Genomic DNA, 23,196 nt, shown 5'->3' on the forward strand with positions numbered 1-23,196 from the left:
AAAGAGCATGTTCTGGCTGGGTGCAGTGGCTCATGCCTGTAATCCCAGCACTTTGGGAGGCCAAGGTGGTTGGATCACCTGCTATCAGGAGTTCAAGACCAGCCTGACCAACATGGCGAAACCTCGTCTCTACTAAAAATACAAATATTAGCCGGGCATGGTGGTGGGTGCCTGTAATCCCAGCTACTCGGGAGGCTGAGGCAAGAGAATCACTTGAACCCAGGAGGCAGAGGTTGCAGTGAGACGCAATCATGCCACTGCATTCCAGCCTGGGCAACAGAGTAAGACTCTGTCTCAAAAAAAAACAAAAACAAAAACAAAAAAAGAGTGTGTTCTATTAGTAATTCCAAAAGGAAAAAGGATGTAATGAGGCATATCCAGCTTCCCCTTCACATCAGTTTTCAGGTTAACTTTGGAATGCCCTTGGCCAAAAGCAGGGGTCCAGTCACATGGTTGGTGAGTATGGCCTTAGAATTTAATTTTTTGGTTTACATTAGGAATGCTTCCACATTCTCTCAAACAAATTTTAGTCACAGTTTTGAATAACGTACTCTGGCTCAGCCATTGCAGGTCTCAAGCCGTTAGGTTTCATTTTCCTCCTCCCAACGATTTTAAATTAGTTTCACTTTCCAGTTTCCTCTTCCTTCCCCTAAAAGCAATTACTCAAAAACGGAGAAAACATCAGCTGATGCGTGCCCTACTCTCCCACCCCTTTATATAGTTCCTTCAGTATTTACTTGAGGCAGACAGGAAGACTTCTGAAGAACAAATCAGCCTGGTCACCAGCTTTTCGGAACAGCAGAGACACAGAGGGCAGTCATGAGGTCAGTGAAATAAGAATGCATAATCATGCTTGTTTTTGAGTGCAAATTGTAAGTTGAGTTTCTTACTGTGCAGGCACATTCCTGAATTGTCCTGATGTTTATAGATTCAATATGTCTTTATCAGTCTGAGCATTTGTAAGATGTTTGAGGGGTTTTTCCCTGTGGCTTTTTTTGGTGTACACACAGGCTTCTTAAGTTTCTGGAATGGTTCCCTACGGAACTACATGGGGGGAGGCAGGGTGGGGAATGCATCAGCTCATGTTTCCTCCCTGTGTGCAGCTATTTCCTGCAATGAGAGGAAGGCTTGGCAGGAGCGGTGTATTTCACTCAGCCACAAACTTGGCTGATTCAAGGGTAGACCTAAGGGAATTACTCTTTTGGGTTTTTCTGTTATTGTCATTTTGTTTGAAAAGATTAAGTCACAGGCTTTTTTTCTTGTAATTTTAAAAGGAGGAATTTATTTTCAACAGATATTGTGAAAGATACAATCAGTACTGCAAACCCACTCATGAAGAAGGCAATTTTGCCCTGAAACGTTGCATTACTTTAAGGTGGGAAGTGGAAGAAACAATTCTTACAAATGGGCATTTTTGTCATTTCTTATATAAAAACAAACCCAAAGCTTAGCATTTATTTTTATTGATGTAGTGAATGCTGGTCAGCAGCAAAAAAAGAATTTCTCCTCAAAAGTGTAATGACCTAATCTATTATCTAAAACTAGTCTAATCTCTAATGGTGGGAAGCAGATCAGTGGTTGCCTGGAGATGGTGGGGATTGAGTAGGAAGGCTCCCAAAAGAATCTTTTTAGAATCATAGGAATAGTCTATAGGGAGGTAGTGATGGTGGCTACATATGCATAAACATTTACCAAAACTCATCAGACTATACACTGAAAATGGGTGCATCTTATTGTATATAAAGCATAATCTCAGTAAACTTGATTTTTAAATTTATATATTGACCTCCTGGAGTTCTTCAGGGGATAGCATGTTAGGGAGAACTAAGAGAAAAGGATGCCTTTCCCACCAAGCATCTCTAGGAAAGGAGTGAGGAGGTGATTGCCAGGGAGGGAAGACCCCATCGACCATTCAGGGGGGCAGAAAAGGAAAACTGGATTCCCTACCTTACTCTGCCCCAAGGACTTGAAGATGCTCTGCAATGTCATGTTTGGGGATGAGATGGGTAAGAGGAATTCACTGCCAAATACCTCAGTATATAGAATACCCTTTTATATAGAATAAGTTCCTGGTCAAGAGTGATGTTAATTGTGTCTGTGTGAGTGGGATTGACCAGAGAGCAAGGCGTCTTAGTAGCCAGCTTGCAGGAAAGGTTTTACAGGGTCCTGTCTTTAGGTGTGTCTATAGCCACTGACCTGAGGAGGTCTGAGGGGGGCTCTCTGAACTATGCTGGACTCAGGTTCACATCAAGGTGCTCCTATTTCCAGAGGCTATAGGAACAGGAAGAGATTGGGCTGCTCCTCCCCAGTTGTGCTAAAAATTTCCAAATGGGAAAATCACCTGGAGAACTCACTGGCACGTGCCAGCTGATGGGCATCCTCCTCTGCCCCATCCACTGAGGAACTCTGTTGCTCCCTTTACACACTCACAAATTCACTTAAAATTATAACACAAATATATTAGTACCAGCAATCATGGTGGTAACATTTCTTTGTGATCTGTAGTTAGTGGTTTCATGCAAGTCCGTGTGAAGAGACCACCAAACAGGCTTTGTGTGAGCAACAAGGCTGTTTATTTCACCTGGGTGCAGGTGGGCTGAGTCCGAAAAGAAAGTCAGGGAAGGGAGATAGGGGTGGGGCCATTTTATAAGATTTGGGTAGGTAAAGGAAAATTACTGTCAAAGGGGGGTTGTTCTCTGGTGGGCAGGTGTGGGGGTCACAAGGTGCTCAGTAGGGGAGCTTTTGAGCCAGGATGAGCCAGGAGAAGGAATTTCACAAGATAATGTCATCGGTTAAGGCAGGAACAGGCCATTTTCACTTCTTTTGTGGTGGAATGTCATCAGTTAAGGCAGGAACTGGCCATCTGGATGTGTACATGCAGGTCACAGGATATGATGGCTTAGCTTGGGCTCAGAGGCCTGACAAGTGGGCACTGTGTTAAACACGTTTTACGCATGACCTCATATCACCCTTCCAACAGCCCTAGGAAGTAAGAGCTATTATTTCTATTATTAGCCTCATTTTCTAGATGACCAAAATGGGGCTTAGAAGGGCAAATTACTTGCCCAAGACATCAGATAGAGAGCAGGTGTCAGAGCAGAGTCATTAATGGAGGCACCAAACTCTACTGCTGATCATCTGACTCTATGCCCAATGGCCAAAAGGTGAAAGATCTTAATGCTTTCAACTATGCTCACTTTAGAGAGGGGGCCAGGGATGGGCTTCCTATCTGGAGAGTAAGGGCCAGCCTTTGATGGTTACCCATGCCTTAGAGTGGCCAAAGCCACAAGAACTGAACCCAGATCTTGGAGAAGGGTGAAAGTGGTTCTCCCCAGGGCATAATTTTCTATCATTTGGATGAAGGGAAAAGGAAATTCATCCTAGGGCATTTTAAGGATAAGGGAATGAGGCTCAGTGATATGACTCAAGAAATATCCCAGAACTAAGCAAAGAGGTCACTGAAATCCAGGTGTCCTGTGGTTTTCTTCCCTTCACTCAAGATGCCTGATAATGCTGCTTAATTCACCACATTAGCTCCATAAATAAAGGGGAAAACTGCTTTTTAAAATACCTCTATGACAGCACTTCTCAAAATGTGGTACAGGAACTCCTGCACTGAATTTCCAAGGCACTTGTGAAAACACAGGTTTCTAAGCTCACATCAGATTCACTGCACCAGAATCTCTGGGAGTAGGACTGCATAGTCAGTACTGTCAATATACAATAATCAGAAGGCTCAGGATCCAGTTAAAAGAGTTTATTCAACAAAAAGTTGAGGGCAGCAGTCCCAGGAGTAGAGCTGCACCCAAGAATGGTGAACAGTACTTCCAGTGTAGAGAAAAATGAGGACTGTTTACATAGGCAAAGACAGAGGTGTTCAACAGAATGACAACTTCTCTTGTTGTTGTTGTTTTTGTTGTTGCTGTTGTTGTTTTTGAGACAGAGTCTCACTCTGTCACCCAGGCTGGAGTGCAGTGGCCCGATCATGGCTCACTGCAGCCTCAGACTCCTGGGCTCAAGGGATTCTCCCACCCAGCCTCCCAAGTAGCTGGGACTATAGGAGCACGCCACTATGCCTGGTTAATTTTTTTGTATTTTAGTAGCAATGGGGTTTTGCCATGTTGGTCAGGTTGGTCTTGAACTCCTGACCTTAAGTGATGCACCCACCTTGGCCTCCCAAAGTGCTGAGATTACAGGCGTGAGCCTCCGTGCCTGGCCAACATTTTCCATACAGAGGCTAACATACAGATATACAATTTGATTGGCTACTATTGATTACAGTCCAAGGGAATTGCTTAATATTCTTTTGTAAAGAGGTAACATGGCTGGCCGCAGTGGCTCACACCCATAAGCCCAACACTTTGGGAGGCCGAGGAGGGCAGATGCTTGAGCTCAGGAGTTGGAGACCAGCCTGGGCAACATAGTGAGACCCCGTCTGTACTAAAAATACAAAAATCAGCCAGGCGTGGTGGCACGTGCCTATAGTCTCATTGACTGGAGAGGCTGAGATGGGAGGATCGCTTGAGCCTGGGAGGCAGAGGTTGCAGTAAGCTGAGATCGTGCTACTGCACTCCAGCCTGGATGACAGAGTGAGATCCTGTCTCAAAAAAAAAAAAAAAAAAAAAAAGTAACAATCAAAAGGGTCTCTATTTCCATAACATGAGGTCTACGTTTTAATAAAGACTAGGTTGTCTGAGGCCGGGCACGGTGGTGCAAGGCTATAATCCCAGCACTTTGGGAGGCCAAGGCGGGCAGATCATGAGGTCAGGAGTTCGAGAACAGCCTGACCAACATGGTGAAACCCCGCCTCTACTAAAAATACAAAAATTATCCAGGCATGGTGGTGCACGTCTGTAATCCCAGCTACTCAGGAGGCTGAGGCAGGAGAATCACTTGAACCCGAGAGGCAGAAATTGCAGTGAGACTAGGGAGTCTGGTTAACATGTAACCCCTCACCACACAGGTCAAAGAGCAACAGTCATGCACCTGAGAAAAAAAACAGTCACGTTACGTGAGTCAGTTTTCAGGGCTTAACTTTGCCTCTTGACATAACACATTTGGAAGCTTCTAAAATTTTATTTTCTTTTTACAGTGCCTTTTTACAACTTTCAAACCACAGTTTTCCAAATCTGTCTGGAACATGTTCCTGGCGTGAGTGAGCTCAGTTCTCACAGATTCTGTTTCAGTTTCCCCTCAAGAGGGATCTTGATAGGGTTCCATCAGTTTCACTTTCCTTTCCCCTTTCATAAAAGCACAGACCTAACAGCACCCTGGGTGGAAACCTCTTCAGCATTTGCTTGGAATCAGTAAGCTAAAAACAAAATCAACCGGGACCCCAGCTTTTCAGAACTGCAGGGAAACAGCCATCATGAGGTAAATAGTCCCTGCTTCTCTGATAGGAAACAGAATTTCTTATGTACAACTTCCTGACTTATGCTATTTCAGTGTTTGCTTAGAGATGAAATATGCATTTATCTAATTCAAGCATAAATCTGCCTTACCAATTCATGCATTTTTATTTCTGTAGCTCTTTGTGATGTATAGAGTTAGGCAGCCAAAGGACACAGGGAAATGGGAGCTGGGAGCTGGGAAGGGACGGGGCATATTGAGAGATCCTAGAGAGCCCATGCTCAGATGCTTTCAGGTAAAATCGGGCCAGTGAAAGCTGGGGCCTGGAGGGAAGTTACTGGAGGTTCTGGTTCGTCTTTTGTTTCTTATATTTAGAAAGCCTAAGTCAGAGGTTTGTGGTTTTGTTGTGACTGTGGTTATTTTTAAACCATGCTTGCTTCTCAGCAAATGTGTCAATAATTAATTCAGCACTGCAAAATTCCAATTTATGTTGAGGTCACTTTTACCTTGAAATGCACTTTTTCATAATTGGGGGATATGTCTACTTGAGTTGTCCTCTAGCAGGTCTAGTGACCTGCTAAGCCTCCCACGTGATCAATGAACAGGGAGAAGGTGTTGCTTGCAGTCTCTCAAACTGTGTTCTGCGAGTGGCCTGAATCATATCAACCTGAGTCTTCTAATAGAATGCAAATTTCTAGGTCCTGCATTCTGAAATCCTGATTGAGTAAAACAGAAATAAGGTCCAGAAACAAACATATATTTAAAGAGGACCACAAGTACTTCATAGGCATACTGAATGGCTTACAGAAGAAATGTCCATCTCCAAATCCTCTCTTCCTTAAATGCATACAAGGCTTCCTGCATTGTATGTGTGTAAATGTGAAGGAGGAAACCCCAAGAGGCAGGAGGGGGGAGGGGTGGGAAGAATGTTGAAATAAAGCAAAGCTTGTTTCTGGGCACAGTGGCTAAGCCTGTAATCCCAGCACTTTGGGAGGCTGAGGCAAGAGGATTGCTTGAGCCCAGGGGCTCCAGACCAGAATTGGCAACAAAGTGAGACCTACAAAAAAACAAAAATAAAATAAAAATAAAGCAAAGTTTGACTGTTTAAAGGGTAATTTAAGTATGAGAAACTGGTGATTGGAAATCACTGCCAAAAAGGGAAGTCTTCCCAGAGCCTTGCTGCTCACAGTGTGGTCTGAAGCTGAGATCCCCCGGGAGGTTGTAAGAAAGGTAACATCCCAGCTTATCTGAATCCAGATCTGCATTTTAAAAAGATCTCCAGATGTTTGTGTCCATATGTACATTAAAGGTTGAGAAGTCCGGCTCTGGAGAGTTCCTTCACTTGCTTTCTGAAGTGATGGACTCCTTGGATTGGGCCTGTTCTGACCAACCAACTGAGCACAGGTCTGCCAGTTCCTTCACGTAGTCAGTTGGAGCATAACCAGCACATGCTGGGGACAAGCTGCACATGTGCAGACAAGAGTGGGGAAATCCCCACTCTTACCACTTCAAGAAAGCCACTTTCTGAAAATTTCAAGATTCTACTCTAGTAATAGCTTTGACTGGGAAGGAGATGTGGTATCTACCCTGGAGTCTGTGGGCAAGACAGGTGGTCATGATCTGGGTTAGGTGAGAGACTGTAACTATGTTGATTCTGGGGATTTCCTAAGGACTAGCAGCACTAGCTTTAACTGCTTTAGTAAGCGAAATCTTATGTCTGCAATCCGAGGTCATGGGAAATCTCTTTCTGGACCTGAGGGAATCCTATCTCCCTAAGGTCTTCTACTAGATGCAGATCCAGGTAGGACTGGCATTCTACTCCCCAAGTTTCACCTGAACCTAGCTATTCTGTTTTTTCTTCTTTTTCTTTTATTCTTTTTTTTTTTTTTTTTTTTTTTTTTTTTTTTTTTGAGACGGAGTTTTGCTCTTTCGCCCAGGCTGGAGTGTAGTGGCCCGATCTTGGCTCACTGCAACCTCCGCCTTCCGGTTTCAAGCAATTCTGCCTCGGCTTCCCGAGTAGCTGGGATTACAGGCGCCTGCCACCACGCCCGGCTAATTTTTGTGTTTTTAGTACAGGCGGGGTTTCATCATGTTGGCCAGGCTAGTCTCGAACTCTTGACCTCATGATCCACCCGCCTCAGCCTCCCAAAATGCTGGGATTACAGGTGTGAGCCACCGCGCCCGGCCACCTAGCTGTTCTTTATCAAGTGACTGTAGTCATCATCCCACCTGCCTGCTTGTATTTATTTAAATATCTGCATTAATTACTGTTAACTAACTTATTTATACATATAAGAAGTATTCAGAGTAACTTTCAAAAACACATATGAGATAAATTATTAAGTGAGGAAACCTTGGCAATTGGAGTATTTGTTTTAAGAGGGCAATAGTATTATAATGAAAACCTCCTGACCTGTGGCTCTGGGGTTCATGTTTCTTCTTATCGAGGTCTCAGGCCTTCCAGTCCAATATATTTTGCTCCAAATTTTACTTCAAGGAGAGATCAAGTATCAAATACCTCATCAAATTGGAGACTTTAGGGAGTAAGGCTTAGGAAAAATCAAGAGAATCAAGGGACCCAATTTTCAGTGGGTTTTATAATCATAAAGCCACATGAGTAGTTGACTATCTTCCTGAATAAATTGTTCCATGTTATCATTAAATGTCTCAGCCTGGCCAGCTCTCGCATTGGTAAAGCATTGGTGGGGATGGAATATCCCTGAGAGATCCATATTCAGAGCTCTTTCACAAGTCCAGAAATGTTCAGTGTGCTTTTCTGCTTGTCCAACACTTTCTTGAGCAATTGATATCTTCTGAAGCTGACACATGACAGGGTGGAAGTATGTTTCATCTCAGAGGGAGAATCTTGAGCTATAAGTGCTTAAAATTTAGTTTGGTAAGATCCCTGGTGCATTGATATGTCAAAGCCTTCTGCCCTCCAAAAAAAAAAAAAAAAGAGAGAGAGATAGTGTCATCAGACTTGCAAGGTGGTTTCCGGTTTCGTTGAGGCAAATACATCCAACAATACATCCAACATCACCTGTCATCCTGCAGGTCCACTGGATACTCTCTATTAATTACTAGTGTTCAGCTATTTTTTTCAGGCACCCATATGTACCTACAAATCTGCAGATACATTCTATTGATCTGAGACTCACACTTTCTCCTTTTAACCTTCCTAATTCACACATCAGCAAAGTTAACTCATGTTTCCATGACTTTATTATGATTTAGTGGCATAACAGATATAAGCAGAGTTGTTCAATTATCATCGTTATAACTTACTTTTGGTATTCATTTTTTAAATAATTGCTAACTTGACTTTTGACTTGTAGTCCTTCATACAGGGTAGTTAGAATACCCAGGTAAAGCCAAATTGAAAACCCCTAGGGCCAGGTGTGGTGGTTCACACCTGTAATCCCAACACTTTGGTATGTCGAGGCAGAAGGATTGCTTGAGACCAGGAGTTTGAGACCACTCTGGGCAATATAGTGAGACCCTGTCTCTGCAAAAAAAGGAAGGAAGGGAGGAAAGAAGGAAAATAGGGAGGGAGGAAGGGAGGGAGGGAGGGAAGGAAGGAAGGAAGGGAGGAAAGAAGGAAAATAGGGAGGGAGGAAGAGAGGGAGGGAGGGAAAGAAGGAAGGAAGAAAGGAAGGACCCTATAATAGACAGGGAAGATATTGACACTGGAACCCTAGACAGGGACCAAGAAAAGGAAAAGGACTGTCCCCAAATCAAAGCACACACATAAAGAGGCTAGCCGGATGTAGATGGCAACTTCCCTCCTCACTCCCATTGCCCTTGAGTTGATTCTGCATCTCTCACTATAAAGCATTTCATGTGCAATCATATTGGGCCAAAAATGGTTTAGATCAGCATTACTGGAGAGACAGACAGGAAGTATAATAGATCAGTACACTTGCAGTAGCGGTGTGAGGGCCAGTGCTCGTCCATGGTAAATTGCAAATAAAGTCAATGGCTCCTTGTAGAACAAAATGCATTCAATTTAAAGAATTTTGTTTATTCTGAGATTACTTTTTCAGTGGCAAGGAAAATTCTTTCTTTTCTATCTTTTAAAATAAAATATTGGTCAGAATAGATGGTTGGTATCTTTTCAGATACATTAGCAGCCCTATTTGGTTCATAACTTTTTTTCTGAAATTGTGCTTGTCTGTGAAATCCAAAAATAAGGACACTTGGTTTAATGATTTCTGGAGGTTCTTTCCAATCTTATGGTGCCGTGACTCCACTGGTAAGAAGGAAGAAGCACAAACTCAAGAGTGAGGGACATACAGCCCAAGCCCCAGGCAAATGTAGATAATGGGAACACACTTAGAGAACTCTTGCAATTTATCCAGCTAAATAAGGCAAGTGATCTCCTTTAGTATCTTCCAACTACAAAACAAAAATGAGTCCATTTTGTTTGTTTGTTGCAACAAATTCATTCTGTCTGGGAATCTGGCCTGTGTGGTGGGGAGACTACTTCAGTCAGACTCAAGCTGAGCCTCCGTGGGTCTGTTTGTAAGTGGTGGAAAAGATGAAGGGAAAAATACCTAAATCACATAACATGTTGGCAGACATATCTGGGCTTTTATTTCTTTACATGTCTCCTAACAAAACTGAAAGCACCTGGCGGGCAGAGAAGGTTGGGATAATCTCTATTTTTCTTAGTATCCATAATATCTAATAAAGTGACAAAAAGAGGTACCCCAATAAAGAGTCATGGGATAGCTAAACAAACCTTACCCAGAATGTACAAGGAATGAGAACTGACTTGGTATTTTTTAATTTTTATTCTTACTTTTATTTTTTTTGAGGCAGGGTCCCACTCTATCACCCTGGCTGGAGTGTAATGGTGTGATCTCAGCTCACTACAACTTTTGCCTCCTGGGCTCAAGTGATCCTCCTGTCTCAGCCTCCCGAATGGCGAGGACTACAGGCATGTACTACCATCCCTGGCTAATTTTTGTATTTTTAGTAGAGGCAGGCTTTCGCCATGTTGCCCAGGCTGGTCTTGAATCCTGGGCTCAGGTGATCCACCCGCCTTGGCCTCCCAAAGTGCTAGGACTACAGGCATGAGTCACCATTCCTGGCTGACTTGGTAATTGAGCAGCGTGAGAGAGATCTCATTTCCTGTCACTGAAGCTGCCTCCTCTTACCCATCTTACCTCACCTCCTGCATATCTGCTTACACGGTGTAAGGGATGTGCTTTGTGGGTGTCTGCACAGACTGTAGCTAAAGAAAAGTGAATGTAGGAAGCAACTTACAATTTTTCCAACCTTGTGATGGTACAAAAGTGATAATTCCATTCTTGTTTTTCACTTAAAATACAGTATTCAATAAGTTACATGAGATACTCAACACTTTAGTATAAAATAGGCTTTGTGTTAGGTGACTTTGCCCCACTGTAGGCTAATGTAAGGGTTCTGAGCACATTTAAGCTAGGCTAAGCTATGGTAGGTTAGATGTATTAAATGCATCTTTTTATTTACAATGTTTTCAATTTATGATGGGTTTATCAGGATATAACCCCATCATAAGTCAAGGAACATCTATATATAAAGAGATTTATTATGAGGAATTGGCTCACCTGATTATGGAGACTGGCAAGTCCCATAATCTGTTGTCTGCAAGCTGGAGACCAAGGAAAGTTGATGGTGTAGTCCCAGTCCAAGTCTAAAAGTCTGAGAACCAGGTAAGCCAATGGTGAAAGTTCTAGTCCAAGTCTAGTCTAAGGGCAGAAAAAGACCAATGTCCTAGCTCAAGCAGTCGGTCAGAGGGAGAATTCTCCCTTCCTCTGCCTTTTTGTTCTATTAAGGCCCTCAACAGAATGGATAATGCCCACCCATACTGGGGAGAGCAATCTGCTCTACTCAGTCCACCAATTCACATGTTCATGTCTTCCAGAAACAACCTCACATACATACCCAGAAATAATGTTGGACCAAATATCTGGGCATCCTGTGGCCCAGTTCAATTGACATATAAAATTAATGATCACAGGGTGCAGTGCTTGGCAGTGTACATCACAGTGACCATGTTTATTTTCTCCACAGTGAGGTCACCAAGAATTCCCTGGAGAAAATCCTTCCACAGCTGAAATGCCATTTCACCTGGAACTTATTCAAGGAAGACAGTGTCTCAAGGGATCTAGAAGATAGAGTGTGTAACCAGATTGAATTTTTAAACACTGAGTTCAAAGCTACAATGTACAACTTGTTGGCCTACATAAAACACCTAGATGGTAACAACGAGGCAGCCCTGGAATGCTTACGGCAAGCTGAAGAGTTAATCCAGCAAGAACATGCTGACCAAGCAGAAATCAGAAGTCTAGTCACTTGGGGAAACTACGCCTGGGTCTACTATCACTTGGGCAGACTCTCAGATGCTCAGATTTATGTAGATAAGGTGAAACAAACCTGCAAGAAATTTTCAAATCCATACAGTATTGAGTATTCTGAACTTGACTGTGAGGAAGGGTGGACACAACTGAAGTGTGGAAGAAATGAAAGGGCGAAGGTGTGTTTTGAGAAGGCTCTGGAAGAAAAGCCCAACAACCCAGAATTCTCCTCTGGACTGGCAATTGCGATGTACCATCTGGATAATCACCCAGAGAAACAGTTCTCTACTGATGTTTTGAAGCAGGCCATTGAGCTGAGTCCTGATAACCAATACGTCAAGGTTCTCTTGGGCCTGAAACTGCAGAAGATGAATAAAGAAGCTGAAGGAGAGCAGTTTGTTGAAGAAGCCTTGGAAAAGTCTCCTTGCCAAACAGATGTCCTCCGCAGTGCAGCCAAATTTTACAGAAGAAAAGGTGACCTAGACAAAGCTATTGAACTGTTTCAACGGGTGTTGGAATCCACACCAAACAATGGCTACCTCTATCACCAGATTGGGTGCTGCTACAAGGCAAAAGTAAGACAAATGCAGAATACAGGAGAATCTGAAGCTAGTGGAAATAAAGAGATGATTGAAGCACTAAAGCAATATGCTATGGACTATTCGAATAAAGCTCTTGAGAAGGGACTGAATCCTCTGAATGCATACTCCGATCTCGCTGAGTTCCTGGAGACGGAATGTTATCAGACACCATTCAATAAGGAAGTCCCTGATGCTGAAAAGCAACAATCCCATCAGCGCTACTGCAACCTTCAGAAATATAATGGGAAGTCTGAAGACACTGCTGTGCAACATGGTTTAGAGGGTTTGTCCATAAGCAAAAAATCAACTGACAAGGAAGAGATCAAAGACCAACCACAGAATGTATCTGAAAATCTGCTTCCACAAAATGCACCAAATTATTGGTATCTTCAAGGATTAATTCATAAGCAGAATGGAGATCTGCTGCAAGCAGCCAAATGTTATGAGAAGGAACTGGGCCGCCTGCTAAGGGATGCCCCTTCAGGCATAGGCAGTATTTTCCTGTCAGCATCTGAGCTTGAGGATGGTAGTGAGGAAATGGGCCAGGGCGCAGTCAGCTCCAGTCCCAGAGAGCTCCTCTCTAACTCAGAGCAACTGAACTGAGACAGAGGAGGAAAACAGAGCATCAGAAGCCTGCAGTGGTGGTTGTGACGGGTAGGACGATAGGAAGACAGGGGGCCCCAACCTGGGATTGCTGAGCAGGGAAGCTTTGCATGTTGCTCTAAGGTACATTTTTAAAGAGTTGTTTTTTGGCCGGGCGCAGTGGCTCATGCCTGTAATCCCAGCACTTTGGGAGGCCGAGGTGGGCGGATCACGAGGTCTGGAGTTTGAGACCATCCTGGCTAACACAGTGAAATCCCGTCTCTACTAAAAATACAAAAAATTAGCCAGGCGTGGTGGCTGGCACCTGTAGTCCCAGCTACTTGGGAGGCTGAGGCAGGAGAATGGCGTGAACCTGGAAGGAAGAGGTTGCAGTGAGCCAAGATTGCGCCCCTGCACTCCAGCCTGGGCAACAGAGCAAGACTCCATCTCAAAAAAAAAAAAAAAAAAAAAAAAGAGTTGTTTTCTCATGTTCATTATAGTTCATTACAGTTACATAGTCCGAAGGTCTTACAACTAATCACTGGTAGCAATAAATGCTTCAGGCCCACATGATGCTGATTAGTTCTCAGTTTTCATTCAGTTCACAATATAACCACCATTCCTGCCCTCCCTGCCAAGGGTCATAAATGGTGACTGCCTAACAACAAAATTTGCAGTCTCATCTCATTTTCATCCAGACTTCTGGAACTCAAAGATTAACTTTTGACTAACCCTGGAATATCTCTTATCTCACTTATAGCTTCAGGCATGTATTTATATGTATTCTTGATAGCAATACCATAATCAATGTGTATTCCTGATAGTAATGCTACAATAAATCCAAACATTTCAACTCTGTTAGAATAGAGGTAATTGTGTGGTTTGTGTATGGGACTATAACAGTAATATTAATTCCCAAAATTTCTCCTACTAGGAACAGTGGGTAATTGCTAAGCCGTACCATACTATTCTCGACATGTTCATTTGAGCCCCTCCCTTAGAATGAACACCCTCCCCCTGAAGGCAGCCTATCCTTACATTATAGGAACTATGACTGTCTTTCCAGCCTAGGAGCCCCAACTAAGCCCCATGCCCAGTTAGCAGCTGCTGCTGTAGACAGGGTTGCTGTAAGCCCAGGAATATCTGGGCAAATGCCTCCCTGACAGAGTGTGAGGGACATCAGTGTGAGGCTGGTCAAAAGGGCAGAGATCCATCCAGGTCTACAGCAGTCCCTTTCAAACTGCCAGCATCTGACACGGTGAGCTCCATTTTGTTCAGGTTAAAGTCAGACCTGGACAGCAAAGGTCTCTTAAACACATGGGGGAATAGCCTCCATGGACTCTTGAGATTAACTTCTGCAGTTCATTTTTAATTCACTCATGAATGTAATATCTAGTCACAAAGGTGTAAACAGAAAGGTAAAAGTATATAAATGTATAAGATGATCATTTGAACACTTTCCTTTTAAATTCCTTATCCCCTAGGAATTAATGTAATATTTGAAATAAATTCTGAAATGATTCCCTAGCTGATTTAACACCTGGAAACTTGCTTGTAGGTTCATAAGTGGCAGAAAGACTGTGGCCCTAAAGGAGTTCATCTCTCAGAATTTAGAATATAGACCCTACACCAGGAACCCATAAAGAGTTGCCCTCTGGTATTCACAGACATAGTATATGCACCTTGGACCATTTCCAAACTCAAAGATCCAGACCTGCTAGGGATTTTGGGTTTTGCCAAGGCATTATACCGTATTAAGAGGCTAACATAGTACATCATGGTGACTATAGTTAATAATGATATGTTGCATACGTGAAAATTGCTGAGAGAGTAGATTTTGTGTTCTCACTACAAAAAGAAAGGTAAGTAGCTGAGGTAATGCATATGTTAAATAATTTGATTTAGCCGTTCCACAATGTATACATATATTAAAACATGCTATACACCATAAATATATACAATTTTTACATGTCAACTAAATTTTTACTTTGTATTAAAAAAGGCTAATGGGGGGTAACTGCAGCTAATGAATAAACATCCAATAGGTCCAGCATTCCCATGTCAAGTGTCCTCTGCCTGTCATCCTTTATACAATAATTCTAATGAAATGCTAGATGGAATGGGACATACCACTCAAGAATACCACAGATGATCACCCTTAAGATATTATAAGATGGGCAGAGAGCACAGACTTCCACTCTTAACTCTTGCCTGGCTGATCACAAATCATATCCCAGCCCAGGTCCAGGGACCTACTTGCTTCCTTACAAACGAGGAGACCCTGGTTCTAAGACTTTTGCTGAGAGCAGAAATAACCTCCCCCATCCTCCTGCTCCTTAAACAAAAGAACCTTTAGGGCAATTGTCTAAAAGGAAACAACATACCAGAAATACAATTCCTGGGTTAAAGCAAGCAAAGCTGCTTTTCTAATAACTCCCATTTTCTATGCATACCCTGGGTCCAGCATTCCATCTTCCAGGTATGGTTAGAAAAGAGATCAGACCTTAGTGACTGCTGGTGAAGTGAATTGCATGCTGCAGCCCCTCATCAGCATCTTTGTACAGCTCAGTTTCGTGTTTTCTGCAGAATCAGGAGCTGACAATCAAAATGGCCCCTCACTCACATTCATTGGTCAGACTGGGCTTGTGATAACAATTTAGACTAATCACTGACAAGCAGGGATGGGGAGCACTGAAGTCAGCTATTGGCTGTGTCCCGGAGCAGTTGGGCATTCTGCCACTGGATGCTGCTTTTGTAATCTTGTCATATGACAAAGCATTATGATGTTCTTTTGTTTTCCTTGGATTGGCTTAAGGGCTGGTGAGAAGCAGGAAATATTCTGCCATGGGAAGTCTACTGACCTGCAAAAATTTATCAAAATACACAGAAGCAGGAATGGAAGGTGGAAAAATTACAAACTGTGATAATCAGCTCCAAGAGCATGTAGGGGTAAAAGGAGGTAGGTAATACCTCTCCTTACTCATTGTAAGAGTCATGGCTGACACTCCTATAACAAAAGACAAGTTAACAAGAGAAAAGCATAACAAATTTACTTAATCAAAGTTTTATGTGATATGAGAGCCTTCAGAAATGAAGACCCAAAGATCCAGGGAAAACTGTTTTTGTGCTTAGGTTCCATGAAGAATGGGCAGCTCTGTAGAGATGTGTTTGGACAAGAGTATGATCTAATGGTAATAGACTGGGTTCAAATTCTTCTTGGACTCTCTGTGTAGCATTTCTTCTTTGCAAGTATGGGGCAGGATTCCTCTGGATTAAGGGTCTTCAAATGAGAAGGGAGAAGGGAGAGAGTGACCTTCCTAAGTTTTATGGCTTGCTTTGGGGAAAGGGCTTCTAGTTTCTATCATTGTCTTGCGGAAGAGGAATTCTAGTTTCCATGGTTCACTCCAGGGGAGAAAGAAGCATGAAAGACAAGAGGGCAGGAGAAGGTCAAAGAGATCTTTCTTCGGAGGCCCTTCCAATGTCTTTCAGTTCAAAGTACTCAGCACACCGAGGCGCTATACTTTGGGCATCATGTTCTGAGAGCCAACAGCTACAGTGAAGAAGTATGAGAGCAGTCACTGAGTAGGGAGGGAGCTTTCAACTAACTTAGAGGAGCAGGGCCTGACCCTAGCAAGCATTCCTGGGGCCTCCCGATTGCCATATGGGGCAGTACTTATGTGTGGGACAGTGATATGAGGAGCTACACTCAGGAAGCTTCCTGATCTCAATTTTTATTATGATTTGTTTCTGATTTGGGATCTTCCTAACTGAATTAAAGAACTTATATTAATTTCTAGCTTAATTCAGGCAGGAGTTAGTCCAAGTATCATTCGACAAACTTTATTAATCTTTTAAAAGTGCCTTGGCTTTGGGTTTAGACCTATTTCAACCTCACCTCCACCACTTAGTATCTCTACAGTGTTGGGAAAAATCACCTAACCTCTGTGACCCTAAGATATTCCTACATAAAACCTGGGAATAATAAATTATACCTCACAGAAGATTAAATGTGTTTCCTTACAAGCATTATGGTAGACCAGATATACACAGAACAAAAAGCCTGTGTATCACAATGAAAAATGCTATATAATCTGCAAAACATATTTTTTAAATGCACAGCTGCATTTATAAGAGAGTAAGGAATTCCCTGAAGTCCAGAAATGACAGGAAAGTGAAAATCCACCAGAATAAGCATGTGTTCATTTGTGTTGGTGATCTACATCACTTTCTCATGGACTACATTACATTATGAAGGAGATGGAAGACAAAGTCTGGGGCCTGCACGTGGTACATTGTATCATAGAACTCACATAAAACCAGGACCCATTCAGAGGTTAAACTGGAGAACAAACTCCTTGCAGACGTAAATGATGGGGCTACACATGCCTGTTTTTGGCTTTGGCCCTAAGTAAAGCAGGGAGGAAAAAAAGTCATTGATAATTTCTAATCTTAAGTGGAGAAGCATGATTGTTTTGGGCTGAAATTCTCACTATCCATGCGGCAAGAAAAAAAAAAAAAAACCTCAAGTAGAAAATTTCATTTTAAGCAATTCTGGCTTGGTAGTGCTCCCATGCACCTAACAAAAGCAAATAAAAACACCCCTCAAAGGGAAACACTTTTTACATAGTTCTCAAAGAATTTCCAAGTTTGATAAAGTTCCAAGGAATATCAGGTCATAATACAAAATCAAAGAATACACACAAATAAATAAGCCACAATGTGCAAAAGTTGCCAGATAATAAACGATAAGCCAGAGCAACAAAACTGCAGATATTGTAATTGAATAGAGAATAAAAAAGAATGTATTTAGTACACTTTGGGAGGCCGAGGCAGGTGTATCACTGAGGACAGGAGTTAGAGACCAGCCTGGCCAACATGGTAGAACCCGGTTTCTACTAAAAATACAAAAATTAGCAAGGCATAGTGGCGGGCATCTGTAATCCCAGCCACTTGGGAGTCTAAGGCAGGAGAATGGCTTAAACCTGGCAGGTAGAGGTTGCAGTGAGCCGAGATCGCACCACTGCACTCCAGCCTGGGCAACAGAGTAACTCTGTCTCAATAAAAAAAAAAAGAATGTATTAGTGTATTTAGTAAATTTCAAGATAAAGAAAGAAAAAATTAAGTTTTAACAAAGGAATAGGCCGGGCGCAGTGCCTCATGCCTGTAATCCCAGCACTTTGGGAGGCTGAGGTGAGCAGATTGCCTGAGGTCAGGAGTTCAAGACCAGCCTGGCCAACATGGTGAAAACCCATCTCCACTAAAAATACAAAAATTAGCCAGGTGTGGTGATGGGTGCCTGTAATCTCAGCTACTCAGGAGGCTGAGGCAGGAGAATCTCTTGAACCCAAGAGACAGAGGTTGCAGTGAGCTGAGATCATGCCACTACACTCTAGCCTGGGTGACAGGTCGAGACTCCATCTCAAAAAATAAATAAATAAATAAATAAATAAATAAATAAATAAAGGAACAATAGTGTATTAAATTTGATTAGGCATATTTGCACAAGAACCAAACAAAACTTAGAAATATAAAAACTAAAATAATAGAAATTAGAAACTCAAAGGATTTGTTGAAAAGTAATTTATACACAGCTGAAAAGCATTTATTGATTTAGAAGACAGATTCGAAGAAACTACTCAGAATGCAGCACAGAAAAACAGTGAGATGGAAAATCAACAGAGATATTCAGGGACATGGAGAACAAAGTGAGGAAGTTAAAATGCATGTGATCAGAGTTGCAGAAGAACAAATAAAAGGGAATGGAGGAAAGGCAATAGTTGAAGAGACAATGACCGAAATTTTCGGAATTAATGAAAAATGCTAATCCTCAAATACATGAATTTCACAAAAGATCACCCAAGCAGATGTCACCTAAAAACATAGTAGTATCTTTTAAGTGCCTTTGAGGCAGAAAGATTTTTAAAACGACAAAAAACAGAAGAAATATCTGTGAAGGAATTGGTATTAGGTTAAGCTCAGACTTCTCAATAGCAACCAAAACACAGTGGGAAATAGTTTCAAAATGCCAAGAGAAAATAATTGTCAGCCTATAATTTGACTTTTTAACCCTTTTTATTTGAAATGATTTTAGACTTAAAGTTGTAAAAATGGTGCCCAGAATTCCCATATACCCTTTACGCAGCTTCCCATCATGTTAACACCTTACATAAACATAGAATAATCTTTAAGACAGGAAACTAACAGTGACAACATATAATCAACTAATCTACAAGTCTTGTTCAAATTTTACCAGTTGTCCCACTAATATTCTTTTTCTAGTTCAACATCCAACCTGGGATCTTCCCCAAAATGACCTTTGTTCACAGTGTCATAATTCACCCTGCAACACAAGCTCTGCTCAACTAGAGTTTGATGAATAAAATGATTTTCTCTTTGCCATGGTCCCTTTATATGAATATCTCATAAAGCATAAAGGTCAGGGTGGTTCCTGTTAGAATATTCACTTCCCTTGATTTCCTGCCAAATATCATTTCACAACCCTCCTGAGCTCCCTCTTGATTATAAAGGGAAAGACATTGACTCCAGTCTGACGCAATAAACAGAAGAGTTTTTGATGACCCTGCACCTTCTTTTCTTCTGATTTATGTGGAACATACCAGCAACAAAATCCTGAACCAAGATCCACCAGGGGATGGACAGGTGTCCTAGGTATGCCCAAGAATGATGCAACATCCCCAGCCATGCGCATGATGGCTGAGGAATCTGGGGACAGCTATTGTGTGGAAAGAAAATCTTACAAAGGGAAATCCTCATAGGAAATTGCGTAGGTTGGAGAAAGAGCCACACTCAGTCAGGCTTAGCCTGTCTTTTCTCTCCTTTGGTCTCCCAGAGGGAGCTGTTATATTCTAATAGCCTGCTGCATTGTTTTTTTCTAAAGAGAATTCTAGGAAATTGACATCAGGGTCTCCAAGACTACCCCTAGATTTGATGATTCACTGGAAAGATGAGCAGGATTCAACATATGGTCATACTCACAGCTAAGCCTTATTATAACAAAAGTATACAGAGCAAAATTAGCACAGACAAAAAGTGCATGGGGCCAAGTCCAAAGAAAATCAGGTATAGGTTTCCAAGAGGGCCGGTAGAGTCATCAGGTTGTGCTTAATTCCTCCAGCATCAAATTGTGACAACACATGTGAAGCCAGTTAGACTGTGTGCCCAAGGGTTTTACTGGGGACTGATCATGTATGCACCCTCTGCCTAGCATGTACCAAAATTCCAGACTTCGAGAAGGAAAGCAAGTGTTAGCATAAACTCCATCATTTGCATAAACAGTCTTAGCATAGTAAGCCACCCATATCATTTATAGAATAGCTAGAAAACTTAAAAATCCAAGTTCCCTGATGTTAGCCAAGGGCCAACCTTGCAAGCAAGTCTTTCTAAAGATAACAGTTTCAAACTTGCCATGCTAACTCTGCATGGTCCATCCCCTTAGTCCTTAGCAAGGCAACTTTATAGTAAAATTATTATTTCTAGGATCTCTGTCAGTATTGATCTCAGTTTTTTCCAATACATTCAGTATTTATCCTCTTTTAAGGATCCTGAATTTAGCCAGCTTAAACAAATCTGATTAATTATAAAGGTCTATCTTAGAAGTCCAGAGAGCTTCCTCCGTACATGTCTATATTAAACTTTTAACCTGGTGGCACATCACAGCTGAGGCCAGGAAAGTAAAGTGGACCTGATCACCTTCCTGGGCTGAGACAGTGTCATGACAGTCAGGTACACACAGACACAAAGCACAATCCCAGAGGACATGCATGGCAGCCCAAGCGGGACATGCCTTAGGCAGTACAGGTTTACAACCCCCACCATGTGGCCTTCCATGGTGAGGCCTACCACCGTAAGGTTTCCATCCCAGTCCAAAAAATACACTGAAGTCCTTGCTTTCAGAGGAACTGCCTTCAAGCTATCAGTTCCAAACACAGGAGTGAGGAAGACATCTGAGGTTTTCTGGATGGAAAGTTCCAGAGTGGATCCCCACCTCCAACCCCAGTGCTGTCTGTTGTGCTCAGAGGCTCAGCAATCTGAATTCAAAGCATTAAGTAGGAGTTTGGAAAGACAGCGTGGGAAGATTTCCGTCAGACAGAAGGGAAATCTTCCAGGAACAGTTCTGAAAAACAAAAAGATTGTTAATGACTTCCTCTCCTTTATGCCTCCCTGGGGGCTGAGTTTCTATTTTTTTCCATTGCGACAAAGTCAGAGAGTCCTATTCAGCAATCATATATTTTTGTTCAGTTATATCCCATTCTCACGCAGATCTTTCAACTGGAAAAAGTGTATACAAAAAGGACAAAAGGACTTTCACCAAAAAAACATTTTCATGCAATTTAAGCATAAAGAGGTATCATGCTCACATTGTCTGCTACTGAACAAAACTGGGGTCCACTTGCCCAGCCCAGTAAAGCCAAACACCCACAGTGGGGTTTTGCAACAAGAGAAAGGAGGGCATTTGTTTGCGGGTTGCCATGCAAGGAGAATCCCGCAGCTCACGCTTAAGACCCTATTTTTGGTTTCTATAGAGAACCAAACATCACCTGACTCTAACTTCCTTGGCTGTTGTTGTAAGCTATTATTACCTTCTTGCTTATCAGCTTGCAAACTTACTTCTCAGGGCCCGGTAGTGCCTGGAATTTCCCTTGAAGGAACTTGAGATTTTCCTTTATTTCCATGCCTGCGTGGGGGTCCTGGCAGGCCACTAAGAAGGAGTCCCTGCTCCATCTTATGTCCAGAATGAAATCCTGAATTTTCAAAAACTTTCAAAATTGGCTAACATAAACTCCCACCTCTTTCATCCAAATTATACACTGAGCCTAGAAATTAGTAATCCTTTTCTGGGGTCAATTGCATTTAATAATCAAACTTCTAAGGTCAGGAAATGCCACTCCAAAATATATCACTTTGGACTTCAAAATGAAGGCACTTGAGAAATAGCAAATGCAAGACAGGATTTTCTCTGAGCTCCCTTTATCTGCATAAAGATAGACCCTCCAAAAGGAACTCAGATGTCATGAATCCCTTCCCAGGGAATCTTATCAACCAGGAAGATTAAACTTGGTTCACTGGAGAGAACACTGGAGGTTGACCCCGTGTCCAGACAGACTTCGTCACAGGCTGTCACATATTCTTCTGAGGGCCCATTCATTTTTCATCAAAACAATTTACTCCCCCTAAGTAAGTTGCCTACATCTCCCCTCCCCTCTCCTTTAAAAAGAGGGTATATAAGCTTCTTGATCTCACTGGGTTTGGGGCGTTAACTTTCCTTTCATATGATGCCCCATGCACGTAATAAGTTTGTATACCTTTTGTTCTGTTAATCTGCCAGTTTTCAGTTTATTTCATAGATTCAATTATCAAGCCCTCAAAAGATATAGGGAAAATGTGTCCTCCCCCTACCTTACTAAGGTGTGTGTGTGTGTTAGGACAAAAGTGAGGGATGTAGATTCAGGCTGTCAGATCATTTTCACAGATTGAAACTAATTGGGAAAGTTGAAAAGAGCAAGTCAACAGCAATGAGATAGTCTCAAGATGGGGAGAGTCCAGTCTGTCAGGAGTGGTTGGAGGGGTTACACTCCCTGTGATGTGTCCTCCTCCAACTTACAGCTTTCAACAGGGATTATAAATCAGTAATGCAATTAGCCTCTGTATCATGAAGGGGCTCAGACTATGCCACCCCAAAACATGCCATTTTGACATAAGAATTATTTTGAGTTAAAGGGAATTGAAAAAAAGCAGACGCAGGATGAGTTGTCTGCCCTACTTCTGTCTGCCTGAAAGCAGAATATAAACGTCTCTTGTGATGGTATCCCCAACCCCTACTTCCATTCAAGAAACGGGATAACAACCTTATCACTGGACAAAGTCTACACAAACAAATCTTAGTAACTAGCCCTCATCTACCATTAGTTTCCCCAAATATTTGTCTTTGCACAATTTGACACCCCTCAAAGTTCAAAGTTCCTTCTTTTTTGTCTGGCCACTTCTCTACAAATGTATTGTTATTTTGTTAAGATGCTCAATAAGTCTGAAGTTCTAGCCACTTCTTTCACTTGCTCATCACTGAGTTCTCTGGTGTGAAGAGACTGATGGGGTTCAGGAGGATATGATATTTATTAATTATTTAGGTGCACCGGCCCAGTCAGATTAACATCTAAAGGACTGAGCCCTGAACAAAGAGTGAAGTTACCTTTTTTTTTAAGACGGAGTCTTGCTCTGTGGCCAGGCTGGAGGGCAATGGCGCAATCTCGGCTCACTGCAAGCTCCGCCTCCCAGGTTCAAGCGATTCTCCTGCCTCAGCCTCCCGAGTAGCTGAGACTACAGGC

The 23,196-nt window shown here is 42.3% G+C and overlaps 2 protein-coding genes across 21 annotated transcripts in view, besides 9 other annotated features; one reads left to right on the forward strand and one right to left on the reverse strand.

Annotated features, from left to right (window-relative positions):
- Positions 1 to 23,196, reverse strand: part of LIPA (lipase A, lysosomal acid type) — a 201,108-nt gene that overhangs the window by 113,683 nt on the left and 64,229 nt on the right. For 4 of the 17 annotated variants that reach the window (NM_001440838.1, NM_001440826.1, NM_001440836.1 and 1 more), the window contains exon 1: positions 15,307 to 15,435. The exons of 8 other annotated variants lie outside the window; for them this stretch is intronic. In NM_001440838.1, the coding sequence (NP_001427767.1) occupies positions 15,307 to 15,320 (14 nt within the window). In that variant the 5' untranslated portion in view covers positions 15,321 to 15,435. Of the gene's footprint in view, positions 1 to 7,762; positions 8,281 to 10,940; positions 11,082 to 15,237; positions 15,436 to 23,196 lie in introns of those variants that run through there. 5 more of the 17 variants (NM_001440827.1, NM_001440828.1, NM_001440829.1 and 2 more) reach the window with 3 other exon arrangements.
- Positions 511 to 750: an enhancer, noted in NCBI's record as "active region_3740". NCBI's record gives its function as "activates an Ori minimal core promoter by ATAC-STARR-seq in GM12878 lymphoblastoid cells {active_cell/tissue: GM12878}" and the evidence as "EXISTENCE:reporter gene assay evidence [ECO:0000049][PMID:35858748]".
- IFIT3 (interferon induced protein with tetratricopeptide repeats 3) lies at positions 743 to 13,714 on the forward strand. Of its 4 annotated transcripts, none has more exons than NM_001289758.2 (3): positions 743 to 824; positions 10,171 to 10,288; positions 11,407 to 13,714. In NM_001289758.2, the coding sequence occupies exon 3, from the start codon at positions 11,558 to 11,560 to the stop codon at positions 12,872 to 12,874; it is 1,317 nt and encodes a 438-aa protein (NP_001276687.1). In that variant the 5' UTR covers positions 743 to 824; positions 10,171 to 10,288; positions 11,407 to 11,557; the 3' UTR covers positions 12,875 to 13,714. The 4 variants fall into 4 exon arrangements, with proteins under 4 accessions (NP_001276687.1, NP_001540.2, NP_001276688.1 ...); NM_001289759.2 differs by lacking the exon at positions 743 to 824 and adding an exon at positions 5,275 to 5,373 and having other exon boundaries at positions 10,167 to 10,288; NM_001549.6 differs by lacking the exon at positions 10,171 to 10,288.
- Positions 1,071 to 1,120: a silencer, noted in NCBI's record as "silent region_2591". NCBI's record gives its function as "represses an Ori minimal core promoter by ATAC-STARR-seq in GM12878 lymphoblastoid cells {active_cell/tissue: GM12878}" and the evidence as "EXISTENCE:reporter gene assay evidence [ECO:0000049][PMID:35858748]".
- Positions 2,972 to 3,031: an enhancer, noted in NCBI's record as "active region_3741". NCBI's record gives its function as "activates an Ori minimal core promoter by ATAC-STARR-seq in GM12878 lymphoblastoid cells {active_cell/tissue: GM12878}" and the evidence as "EXISTENCE:reporter gene assay evidence [ECO:0000049][PMID:35858748]".
- Positions 4,881 to 4,960: a silencer, noted in NCBI's record as "silent region_2592". NCBI's record gives its function as "represses an Ori minimal core promoter by ATAC-STARR-seq in GM12878 lymphoblastoid cells {active_cell/tissue: GM12878}" and the evidence as "EXISTENCE:reporter gene assay evidence [ECO:0000049][PMID:35858748]".
- Positions 5,051 to 5,310: an enhancer, noted in NCBI's record as "active region_3742". NCBI's record gives its function as "activates an Ori minimal core promoter by ATAC-STARR-seq in GM12878 lymphoblastoid cells {active_cell/tissue: GM12878}" and the evidence as "EXISTENCE:reporter gene assay evidence [ECO:0000049][PMID:35858748]".
- Positions 5,051 to 5,372: a biological region, named in NCBI's record as "Sharpr-MPRA regulatory region 6014".
- Positions 5,078 to 5,372: an enhancer, noted in NCBI's record as "tiled region #6014; HepG2 Activating non-DNase unmatched - State 2:TssF". NCBI's record gives its function as "activates a minimal TATA promoter and a strong SV40 promoter by Sharpr-MPRA in HepG2 cells {active_cell/tissue: HepG2}" and the evidence as "EXISTENCE:reporter gene assay evidence [ECO:0000049][PMID:27701403]".
- Positions 6,503 to 6,722: an enhancer, noted in NCBI's record as "active region_3743". NCBI's record gives its function as "activates an Ori minimal core promoter by ATAC-STARR-seq in GM12878 lymphoblastoid cells {active_cell/tissue: GM12878}" and the evidence as "EXISTENCE:reporter gene assay evidence [ECO:0000049][PMID:35858748]".
- Positions 6,763 to 6,952: an enhancer, noted in NCBI's record as "active region_3744". NCBI's record gives its function as "activates an Ori minimal core promoter by ATAC-STARR-seq in GM12878 lymphoblastoid cells {active_cell/tissue: GM12878}" and the evidence as "EXISTENCE:reporter gene assay evidence [ECO:0000049][PMID:35858748]".

Source organism: Homo sapiens, chromosome 10 (assembly GCF_000001405.40).
Source record: "Homo sapiens chromosome 10, GRCh38.p14 Primary Assembly".
Classification (NCBI taxonomy): domain Eukaryota; kingdom Metazoa; phylum Chordata; class Mammalia; order Primates; family Hominidae; genus Homo; species Homo sapiens.